The sequence below is a fragment of the Homo sapiens genome, chromosome 5 (assembly GCF_000001405.40).
Source record: "Homo sapiens chromosome 5, GRCh38.p14 Primary Assembly".
In the NCBI taxonomy this organism is placed as follows: Eukaryota; Metazoa; Chordata; class Mammalia; order Primates; family Hominidae; genus Homo; species Homo sapiens.
The window spans coordinates 20,835,793-20,848,980 of NC_000005.10; the positions used below are offsets into that span (position 1 = coordinate 20,835,793).

Below are 13,188 nucleotides of genomic sequence, written 5' to 3' on the forward strand. Positions count from 1 at the left end.
TTTGTCTGTTTTTACACTTGATGTTAAAAAGATCATCAATAGGTACTATTTATGTCTCGCTTAATTTGCTCAATATTTTGCATGTGGCATATATCTACAGTGTTGCATGTGGTTGTAGTTTCTTCATTCTCAATGATGCCCAGGGCTCAATTGCATAAAGATATCACAATTTATTAATTGGTGCTACTGTGGATGGACATTTGTCTTCTTTCCAGATTTTAGCTATTATTAGTTCATTGCTATGAATGGTCTTTTCTTGTATTTTGTTGAACATATATGGTAAGTATATACACAGAAGAAAAGCTACTTGGTTACAGGTGTAAGTAGGTTGGCTTTAATAGATACTACTATCTTTTTAAGGTGACTTTACCAGTTTGCATTTTCTGTAACAGTATATGAGAATTTCAGTTGCTCCATGTTCTCCACACACATGCAATTCTCTGTCACTTGCACTTACTCTTCTGGTGAGATCACATTTCTGTTTTAATTTGCATTTTCTACTTTATGACAAATGACATAAAGGCACCTTTTCATATATTTGGTGACCATTGGATATTTTATGAAGAGCTTATTTGAATCATTTGCAAATTTTTCTGTTGGCGATTTATCACTTTGTGAAAGTTCTTCATATATTCTGAACACCTCCCTCTCCCCGCCACCACCCATATATATCAAATTCTACCTCTGATATAGTCTCCATTTATATACTAACCATTTCTTCTTTTACCTTTCTTTTTTCTACTTCATCCATCACCTCACACCCGTTCGATTTTAGTTGTCTGTTAACTGATCCACGTGACTTTAGTCTGTCTCCCTTTCTCCAAATCATACCATACAAGACTAACAGATAAAGCTCTTAAAAAGGAGTATCGCTTCATGTGAGCAATCAACTTAAACTTCTTCAATAGTAAAGTCTTTATATGCAGAGAAAGCCGTACAAAATCTGACTGGGACTTAACTACTCCTTAATCATTTGGTATAGTTAGAACATGGCATCCAATTACATACAATATTTATGGTAGCAAAGAAAAATTGTATTTAAAGACTTGGTCTATAGTTACATTTTGTTAAATAAGTAAGCACCCTCATCTCTGTAAATGTTTACACTTATTTTTCCGTAATTACAACTTGTTAGTTTTACATTCTTACTTGCAAGGCTTTTGAAAGCTTGAATAGAGAGTGATTAAAGTATTATAATGTCTAATCTCAAAATATTGTATTCTTCATTCAATCATTGTCTGTGCTCTAATATATGTCTTATTACTTCAGAAATAATACATATTTGTACATTTTCCTGAAATTATTTGAGTTATCTTAGGGTAAAACATAGAATGGCAACAGGGAATTTATTTCAATATTTTTATGCAGAAAAATAATATTTTAAAATTCCCATGTGATTATACTACATTTTTGTCGGAGCCTTGAAGGTTTGTATTAAATATAAGTCATGATAAGACCTCAGAAGATTTAAGAAAATCTTGGAGTCATTTATGTCCAATTTCTCTTGAATTATCTACAGTGGAACATGTAATGGTTTCATCAAAAAAATTCAAATCTAAAGAAAAGATAGTTATTTTTTTGTCCAAGGAAAAGCTTTTTATACCAAATTTCAGCTAAGACTATTTTAAGATTTTTTTTTTCTCTAATGAAGTTTTTCATGTGAATCAGAGTCTATTTTAAGTCACTCGTTTTCATTGCAAAGAACACTATACACATCATATTTATTTTTATATCCCATTTTTGTTCATGTTATCTACTATTTTGGTTCCAAAAAGATTACCTAGAATAAAGTAGATGCTTAAAAAATATTGCTTTAAAGAGACTAGCATGTCCTCTCTGTATAGCTGTATATTATTCATCACAATACTCAACCTCTCAATTCCCTGGCCCTTGTCTGTAAAATGTCAATAAAGAAGTATATACTGCACTGGGTTATTAAGATTAAATAAAATATCAAACATAAAGCAATATAAAGTGCTGAACACATTATAAACTACTAATAAGTCTTAGCTTTCCTTATTTTCTTATTAAAATTTTTTTCAGTACGTTTTTTAAAAGAAGAATCTTGGCTGGGTGCAGTGGTTCACACCTGTAATCCTAGCAATTTGGGAGACTGAGGTGGCTGGATCACCTGAGGTGGGGAGTTTGAGACCAGCCTGGCAAACATGGTGAAACCCCATCTCTACTAAAAATAATAAAAATTAGGTGGGCGTGGGGGCAGGTGCCTGTAATCCCAACAACTCGGGAGGCTGAGGCAGGAGAATCACTTGAACCCAGGAGTCAGAGGTTGCAGTGAGCCAAAATTGCACCATTGCACTCCAGCCTGGACGACAAGAGCAAAACTTTGTCTCAAAAAAAAAAAAAAAAAAAAAGAAAAGAAAAAGAAAAAAAAGAAGTATCTTAAGTAGTATATGTTACTGATATGGTTCAGCTGTGTCCCCACCCAAATCTCACCTTGAATTGTAACTCCCACAATTCCCAAGTGTTGTGTGAGGAAACCGGTGGGAGGTGATTGAATTATGTGGGTGGGTCTTTCCTGGGCTGTTCTTGTGATAGTGAATGAATATCATGAGATCTGATTGGTTTATCAAGGTTTCCACTTTTGCTTCTTCCTCATTTTCTCTTGCCACCACCATGTAAGAAGTGCCTTTCACCTCCTGCCATGATTCTGAGGCCTCCTCAGCCATGTGGAACTGTAAGTCCAAATAAACCTGTTTTTCTTCCCAGTTTCAGGATGTCTTTATCAGCAGCATGAAAACAGACTAATACAGTTACTATATCAGTTTTGGCTATTTACTAAATCAATTCCACTATGAAAATATAAAGGCTTTGCTAACATAACATGACTGGGAACCTAATGCTGCCTGAGGCAGTTTCCATGGGAAGCTCCGAAAGTGTTTTGAATAATGGCAACAGTATTGTAATAAGTGTATGTAATAGTTTCCTAGAGATACCTTTAAAAATTACCAGAAACTGGGTGGTTTAACACAAAAAAATTATTCTTTTACAGTTCTGGAGGCTAAAAGCCAAAATTAAGGTAGGACTCTTTCCTTCTGGAGGCTCTGTAAGAGAATCTGTCCCATGTGTCTCTCCTAGCCTCTGATAGTCATCTATAATCATTGGCATTCTTTGGCTTGCAGCTGCGTCACTTGAACTCTGTCTCCCTCATCTCATGTCCTTCTTCCTGTGTGAGTCTGTGTCCAAATTACCATTTTTGAGGACAGTAGCCATTGGATATGGCCCACATAAATTCAGTATGACCTCATCTGAACTCAATTACATCTAAAAAATATTATTTCCAAATAAGGTTACGTTCATAGGATGTATTGATATCCAGAAAATTTCTGTTCAAATGCCCATGGGATTATACTACACTGCTGTGCTAGTGTTCCAAAGATGTGTACCCAATATAAGTCTTAATAAGACCCCAGAGGATTTAAGAAAATTTTGGAGTCATTTCTTTATGATTTCTTTTGCATTCTCTACTGTGGAACATGCAATGGTTTTGTTTCATTTTAAAAACTCAGCTCTAATAAAAGATAGATGTTTATTCAAATTTCAGGGGTAGGACTTAAATTTATAATTTTGAAGAGAAAATTTAATTCACAACAATGTGTAACATCCTTTTTTAGATATAGAACTCAGTTAACATTTCAAAGTTATGTTAGTTTCTTGAGAAGATATATCTTGAAATAACTTTATATTGTTATTTCTAACAAATTGATTTTTAAGCCAATGCAATAATAAATTGTCAGTGTGGAGGGGAAATGTGGGGTTGGAGCCCCCACACAGAGTCCACACTGGGGCACTGTGAGAAGAGGGCTACTGTCCTCCTGACCCCAGAATGGTAGATACACGAACAGTTTACACAATGTGCCTGTAAAAGCTGCAGGCCATCAACACCAGCCCTTGAGAGCAGCCGTGGGGGCTAAGCCCTGCAGAGCCACCGAGGCAGAGCTGCCTAAGGCCTTGGGAGCCCACTCCTTCCATCAGTGGGACCTGAATGTGAGAGATGGAGTCAAAGAAGATAATTTCAGAGCTTTAAGATTTAACAACTGCCCTGCTGGGTTTTGGACTTGCATGGGGCCTGTAGCACCTTACTTAGTGTATCTCTTCAGTGTAGTATACATATTTCAAATGAGCTTTATAAATGTTCGGAAAGCAATTATCAACTCATTTAGAGACTTCCAGTTAAAACACAATAAAAAAACATAGCAAAAATATGCACATACATTAAAACTTCATGGGAATAAGATGATTTGCTGTAAATTGAAGTAAATTTCCTTGGTTTAGTAGTGGGACCTGGTGTCTATATAAGAATATAATTTTAAGAATTCAGCTTTGAGGATACATATGTATGTAGAAACAGGCAGAAGTTAGCATTGGACTAAATGATTACAGTGAATGAGACAAGATATAAATTTTCATTCATTCAAGCTATGCTGGTCACTCTGATGGATATGAGAAAGAAAATAAAAATATAATTACATGTGTTGTAATTATCTACCAAATGTATTATAAAATAAGAAATACTTAGTTTATTGAAAAACACTTTAGGTTAAAAATCCATCTCTCTCTCTTTCTCCCTCTCTCTCTCACACAGACACACACACACACACACACACACACACACACACACATTTTATGTATATATTTTTATCTTACACCAAATACCAAAGGCTTTTATTTATAAGTCTACTATCTTGCTCCCAAGTCTCACCCACCTCACTGGACTCACTTTAATATCTTGAACTCCTAACATGTCTTTCACAGGTTTTTCTTTTCTTTTTCCTTTTTTTCGTATAATTCCTTAGTCATTTTATTTTCTATTACATATTTATAATTCTTTTCAATCTCAGAAAATTTTTCTCTAAATTTCTTAAAGTTCTATAATATCTGCAACTAGATGAAATTTCATATTTTTCTATTTTAGATTCATAATTTATTTTGCATAGTATAATTTAGTACTTTTTTATCTCATATTTGTAAATATTTGATTTTTTAACTTGAATTTAGGGTGACTTGTGTATTATTGCTTTGGTTCGAAAAATAACTCTTCCCATTTCCTCTTCAAATGTGCAGGTTTTTAAAATGCATTCATTAATTCATACTCTACTCATGTACAATGGATAGTTATGTACAATGGATACTCATGTAAAATGGATAGTTATTTCTAAATATTTTGCCAATAGTTAATAATAATATTTTACTCCATTAAAACCTAGAATATTTTTCCCCTCTGGAATTAAAAATAGTGTGACAATGCAAGCATAGAGTATTTTACAGTAGCTAACATATATTGTGTGCAGTTTCTATACACCTTTTGACCCGGTAGTCCCACTACTAAGTATATGCTTAAAGAAATTTAAATCATTCTACCATAAAGTCATATGTACACATACGTTCACTGCAGCAGTATTCACAAAAGCAAAAACATAGAATCAACCAAAATGCCCATCAACAGTTGACCGGATAAAGAAAATGTGATAGATATACACCATTATATACTATGCAGTTATGAAAAAGAATGAGATCATATCTGTTGCAGGAACATGGATGGAACTGTAGGCTATTATCCTTAGCAAACTAATGCAGGAACAGAAAAATAAATACTGCATGTTCTCACTTATAAGTGGGAGCTAAATAATGAAACCCCATGATCAGAAAGTAGGAAACAACAGACGCTCGGGCCTAGTTGCAGGAGGAGGTTGGGAGGAGCTACAGGTTCAGGAAAAAAACAACTTGATACTGTGTTTAGTACCTGAGGGATAAAATAATCTGTGCAGCAAAGCCCCAAGTCATGAGTTTATTTACATAAGAAACCTGCACATGTATCCCTGCACCTAAAGAAAAGTTAAAATATTTAAAAATAGCTTTATTATAGTATAGTTAACATAACAATAAACTTTACCAATTTTAGTTGCACATTATGACAAGTTTTGACGAATGTACACATTCATGTAACTAGCACCAAATTCATGGTGCAGAGTGTTTCCACCAAACTTCAAAGTCACAATGGCCACTTTGTGTCATTTTTCTCCCCAGTGCCTTCCCATGGCAACCACTGGTGTGATTTCTGTCTCCATTATTTTCCACTTCTAAAATTTGACATAAGAATTGTAATATGTCATATAGCCTTTGGTTCCTGGTCTTTTCCCTTTTCATGATGATTTTGAGGTGATTTTGAGAGTCATGATTTATTGCATCCATCATTACTTTATTTTTTATTGCTAAATAATCTTTGATTTTAAGGTTACAACACAATTGGTCTTATGCATTCTCCTATTGATGAAGATATGGATTGTATCATGTTTGGAAACAGAAAATATTATGAATCACTCTGTCAATAAGTCTTGGTGTAGACCCATGTTTTTATTTCTCTTGAGTAAATACCTAGGAGTGGAATTGGTGAATAACATAGTAAGTGGATTTTCAACTATGTAAGAAACTTCCAACTGGTTTTCAAAAATAGCTGCATCATGTCATATTCCCATTAGCAACAATGGGACTTCCAGCTATTCTATTTATTCTCCAAATCTTGGTACTGTCAGTCTTTTTAATGGTAATCATTAGGCAGAATTTGTAGTAATTTTTCATTATACTTTTGATTTTCATTTCCCTGATGAAAATTATGTTGGCTATCATTTCATGTGTTTCTTTGCAATGTGTATGTCTTCTTCAGTGGAATGCTTGTTTACAACTGTTGTACATTAAGTTTATCGGATTGTGGGCTTATTTTTGATCTGTACAAACAATATAGTCTGGATTAAATTACTTTATTAAAGTATAAGTTTTGCAAATATTTATTTCCATGTTAAACATTTTGTTTATAAAATGTTTGAATTGTTTTATGATATTTTTGATGTACAGCCATCTTTCTAAATTATTTTATGAATTGTGCTTGTATACCTTATCCAGTAAATTATTGCTTAACTAATGATCACAAATATTTTTTACTAACGCTTATTTCTAGAAGTTTACTTTTAGGTTTAATTTGATATTTCTATCTAAATATCAAATTAAACTTAAAAGCAAATTTAGGTATTTAATTTTATATTTAGATCTATCATCTGTCATGTAATGTACATTCTCTCTTTTTTCCCTTTCAATACTTTATTTTTTAGAAAACTTCTATATTCACAGCAAAATTGAACAAAAGGCATAGAGATTTCTATTGTAATGGATTTCCAGGTATATCAGGGACATTTGCTAAAGAGATTCTCTTTTCCCCCTTTGAAATGCTGTGTATTTTGTCCAAACCCAGTTGATCTCATATGTGTGCATCTACTTCTCTTCCCTCTGGCTCAATGAAACTATATTTGTTCTTATGCTCACAATAACCCATACTGTTTACTATGGCTTTATAATTGTTTTTAAAGGCAGTTCATTGAGGCCTTCAAACTATGTGCATCTTTTATAATTTTTTTTTACTATTCTGAGTTCTTTTACCATCTGTTTTGCTGTTATAAAATTCCATTTTCCAATTCTTTATGACTGGTATATAGAAATATGTTTCCCATTTAGCCTACAACCACACTAGGAAAAGACATGAACTGTAGTGCATTTTTGCATAGTTCTTCATTATTTATTGGTACACAATTTTGCAAAACAAAGATGTTAAAATGTCTCTGTTTTTAATTCTGTAGCTTTCTTGCACTATCTAGCATCTCATGTAAAATGATGAATAAAAATGAAAGAAAGTTGACATTTTTGCCCTTTTTCTGATATTGATATAGTCACTCTGGCTTCTTTTTAAGAAGTGTTTTCATGGTATGTCTTTTTTTTTTTTTAACATCCTTTAACTTTTAATTTATGTGTCTTGTATTTAATGTAAATTTTTCTAAAGTTAATATTTTTGGTCTTCCTCTATAATCCAATGTTATACTCTATGCATCTTAATTAGTGTGATTAGATCATTCCCATTTTCTTGTAATTTTGATAAGGTTTTAAATCTACCCATCTTGCTGTTTGTTTTCTCTTTTCTTATTTATTCTTTTTTATTTCATGCCTTCTATATTTAAAAAAGTATCTTTCCATTTTGTATTCTATTGTCTCATTATCTACGTACGTGTGTGTGTGTGTGTGTGTGTGTGTGTGTGTGTGTGTGTGTGTATCTGTATATATATATATTTTTTTTCTTGAGATGGAGTCTCCCTCTGTTGCCCAGGCTGGAGTGCAGTGGTGTGATCTAAGCTCACTGCAACCTCCGCCTCCCGGGTTCAAGCAATTCTCCTGCCTCAGCCTCCCAAGTAGCTGGAATTACAGGCATGCGCCACCATGCTAGGCTAATTTTTGTATTTTTAGTAGAGATGGGGTTTCATTATGTTGACCATGCTGGTCTCAAACTCCTGACCTCAGGAGATCCAAAAAGTGCTGGGATTACAGGAGTGAGCCACCACGCCTGGTCTATTATCTACATATTTTCATTCAACTCTTCTTTTAAGTGATTGTCCTGTAGTTTAAAATATACATCTTTGATTTATCACAGTCTACCTTCATATGCTATTATACTACTTCACTTATAATCGATGAGCAGCACAATAGTGCACTTTAATTTCCCCATTTGTATTATTGTTGTCAAATATTTTACTTGTACATAAATCTCAAAGGGTATTGTTGCTATTATTTTTCATAAAATCAAGTATCTTTTGAAAATAACTGAAACAAGGTTAAAAGTATTATTTTTATGCCTACACATACATTTATTTTTCTGATGCCTTTTTATTCATTTTCATCAGGTATCATTTCATTCCACCATCGGAAGTTACTTTTACTTTTTTTAGGCAGGTTCATGAATGATAAATTTTTATTTTGTTTCCTGAAAAACTCTTTATTTCTCTTTATTTTAGAAATACATTTTCTCAGTATTTAAAACCCTTGGTTCACTTTATTTTTCTTAAAGCATACTAATTTATTATTTCATTTTTTCTGGCATGTATGGATTTGTGATGATAAACTTATTGTTTAACCTAATTTTCTTCTTCTATTAGTCTTCTGTATTTTGCTCTAGGTGTTCTTAAGATTGTATCTTTGCCACTAGATGTTTGTAGTTTGATTACAATGTGCCTTTTTGTGGGTTTATATTTATTGTTATTGTGGTTGATTTAATTTCTTGCACCTATGGGTATATGGGTTTATTCAAATTTTGAAATCTTTTAGCCATTACTACAACTATTTAATTATAAGAATTTTAGCATATATTTAGGTCACTTATTATTGTCCTCTAATTCATTGATGGTGTATTTATTCTTTCTCTATTTCCTCCCTCTCTGCCTGCCTTTGAATAGTGTATATTGCTATGCTTTCATGTTCAATGGCATTTCATTCTGCTGTGTCTCATTTGTTGATAATCTCAGACAGTATTTTTTTTTATTTCTCATGTTGTAATTTTCATCTCTGGTGGTTGCAGTTAGGTCACTTTTATATCTTCTATTTCTGTTCTCACTATGGACATATTTTCTTCTATAACGTTAAGCATATTGAATATGTTTATAATAGCCATTTAAATGCCCTTATCTTCTAATTCCAGTAACTGTCATTTCTGTATCTCTTACTTTTTTTAATTGAATGCCAGTTGTCAATTAAGTTCTTGGATTCTGAATTATATCTTTAAAGAAAGCTGAACTTTTTTCTTGGTATAAATTTGCTTAGAAACCATTTAATCAATTTAAGGTTTGTTACCCCTATGAAAATGACTCTAGACTATCTCTTGCCTAACACTAATGTAATCCCATTAATATGGTGATACACTTCTGAGGATTCTCTCAGATGGCCTGGACGTTATGAGGTCTTTCTAATCTGGCTGCTGAGAACACACACAACTCCTAGTTCTCTGTCAAGTCCAAAAACCTCAGTTTACTGTTTTCCTGCACCTCTTAGCAATTCCTTCTGTGAATGCACAGATCAGCATTCAAAGATTCAAGGAAATCTGAAAAGCTTTTTCTCTATACAGCTCCCTTTTATCTTATATTATGCCCTGAAAATTCTAGCCATTTCAACATCCTCAAAATCTGATCTTTGTATCTTTAAATCAGCAAAGATGCTGAGTCTCTTTGATTTTCATCTTCCTTCCTTGAGTCCTGGAAAATGCCTTTGGAGAATAAGCAAGATCATCGGATTCCACTTGTTTTATTTACCTCAATTGTCACATCACTTTGCTGCTCTTATGTCTGATAGCATCTCTTACGTTGGTGTCAAAATCCCAGTTGTATGTGATAGTTGTGGAGGGGGGCTGTGGTTACTGTTTCTACAAGTGGGAGTTTGTACGACTTGTTTACATGCATTAACCCATGTAATTCTCACAGACTTCCAATAACGAAGTTGTGGCAGATCATCCTATTTTTAACTTGACTAAACTGTGAATTAACTTCTCCAGATTCTACCTCCCTGTATATTTCTGGGTTGGAAAAAAAACAAACAAACAAAGAACAGAACCTTTCACAAGATGTGGGATGGAGAAGTGTGGAATTGGCCACCACTCTTTGAAGGTTGCTGTGGTTAGAGGTGATGACAGACACAGAGACACTCAGAAATTTCCAGCTTGTCCTCCTGCTCCCCCATACATCGTCCAGGTCTCCTTTTTTTTTTTTTTGAGAGGGAGTTTCGCTCTTGTTACCCAGGCTGGAGTGCAATGGGGTGATCTCGGCTCACCACAACCTCCACCTCGCTGGTTCAAGCGATTCTCTTGCCTCTGCCTCCCGTGTAGCTGGGATTATAGGCATGCACCACCACGCCCAGCTAAATTTTTGTATTTTTAGTAGAGACAGGGTTTCTCCATGTTGGTCAGGCTGGTCTCGAACTTCCAACCTTAGGTGATGCGCCTGCCTCGGCTTCCCAAAATGCTGAGATTACAGGCGTGAGCCCCCGTGCCAGTCATCCAGGTCTCCTTCTGAACTGTGGGCTTTTCTCTCTAACTATGTGTCATGGTTCGTTCACCACAGGTGATATAGACCCACAGAGGAAACATGTTCACATTCCCTCTGTTAGTGTCTTCCTCTTTGTATTTCCTCTTCAACTCCTTAATATGTGTTTGGCTTCTCACTTTGATAGAGTGGTGACTCAATTAAATCTCTCCTGTTCCCTGTCTTATATTCATGTCTCCCTCTCATTTCACAATTTTACAAGGTCTAATTCCCACAATAAATTATCTTTTCCACGATTCATTGCAGTTTTATATCCATCATTCAATCTTGGCTAATACTATGCATTTAATTTATCCCTAATTTTGAAATGAGTATAATAAGAAATGGAAATAATTAGTAAGTGCCTTAGTGTTAAAAAGCTAATTAATAGTTGATCTAGGATTTAAACCCAGGAAATTATTTTCCAAAATTCATGATTCTATGCATCTTTCCTTATTGTCTCTTTAAATCTCTGCACTTATCAGTGGCAATTAAATATCTACCATTTAGTTTTTTAATTTAAAAGTTTTAAAAATTTATAGTTGACACATGATTACTGTACATATTTGTGGGATACAGTGTGATGTTTCAATGCATATATACAATGTGTAATGATTAAATCAGGGTGATTATTATATTCATTGCCTTAAGCATTTGTCATTTCTTTGTGGTGATAACATTCAAAATCCTCTCTTCTGACTATCTTGAAATGAACATTTTAGGCTGGGCATGGTGGCTCATGCCTGTAATCCCAGCATTTTGGGAGGCTGAGGCAGGTGGATCACTTGAGGTCAGGAGATTGAGACTAGCCTGGTCAATATGGTGAAACCCTGTCTCTACTGAAAATACAAAAATTAGCTGGGTATGGTGGGTGCGGTAGTCCCAGCTACTCGGGAGGCTGAGGCAGGAGAATCACTTGAACCTGGGAGGTGGAGGTTGCAGTGAGCCAAGACTGCACCACTGCACTCCCACCTGGGTGACAGGGCAAGACTCCATTTCAAAAAAAAATTAAAAAAAGAAATGAACATTTTATTAGTTATGGTGATCCTACTGTGTATTAAAACACCAGAACTTATTCTTCTTGTCTAACCATAACTTTTTAGTCCTTGTCCAACCACTCTTCATCCATCCTCCCTTGTACTGACCCAGCTTCTGGTAACCACTATTCTATTCTCATTTCTGTGAGATCAACTTTTTAAAATACATACATACACACACACACACACACACACACACACACACACACACACACACACACACCATATTTTCTGTACCCATTCATCTGTAGAAAGGCATTTAGTTTGATTCCATGGTTTGGCCATGTGAATAATGCTGCATAATCATTGGAGTGCAGATATCTCTCTGATATACTGGTTTCATTTCTTTTGGATATATACCTAGTACTAGGATTGCTGAATCAAATGGTAGTTCTATTTTTAATTTTTTGAGGAACCCTCTGTACTGTTTTCCATAATGACTCTATTAATTTAAGCTATGTGTCTGTAATCCCAGAACTTTGGGAGTCCAAGGCAGGTGGATCACCTGATATCAGAAGGTCAAGACCAGGCTGGCCAACATGGCGAAACCCCGTTCCTACTAAAAATACACAAAATTAACCTGCTGTGGTGGCACGTGCCTGTAGTCCAAGCAACTTGGGAGGCTGAGACAGGAGAATCTATTGAACCCAGGAGGTTGAGGTTGGAGTGAGCAAAGCTAGTGCCACTGCACTCCAGCCTGGGTTGACAGAGCAAGACTCCATCTCAAAAAATAAAAATAATAATAAATAAAAACTTAAAAAATAATTTAAACTATGTATCTGACAACTTCTTAATATCCAGAATATATAAGGAATTTAACTCAGTAGCAAAACACACAAATAATCTTATTAAAAATGGGCAAAAGACCTGAATAGACATTTCTCAAAAGAAGACATACAAATAGTCAACAGATGTATATTTTTAAAATGCTCAGTCAACATTGCTAAGTATCAGGCAAATGAAAATTAAAGCTGGGATGGGATATCACCTTACCCCAGTTAGAATGGCTATTATCAAAAAGTAAAAAAAAAAAGAAAAAAAGAAAAAAAAATGCTGTCAAGGATGCAGAGAGAGGGGAGGTCCTCTCATATACCAGGTTGTGGGAAAATAAACATATTTTATTTTCAAACAGAGAATTTTTATGACTGTGTAAGTGCTGAAAAATTTGGGGAATTGTATTTATTTGCTAGAACTGTTTGCTAAACCTTACGTTTATGTAATAACTGCAGAATATTAAACTTAAATTCAAG

General features: G+C 34.4%; 1 long non-coding RNA gene across 1 annotated transcript in view; it reads left to right on the plus strand.

The window, feature by feature from the left end:
- LINC02241 (long intergenic non-protein coding RNA 2241) overlaps nucleotides 1-13,188 on the plus strand; it is a 325,854-nt gene that overhangs the window by 223,953 nt on the left and 88,713 nt on the right. The window lies entirely within an intron of this gene.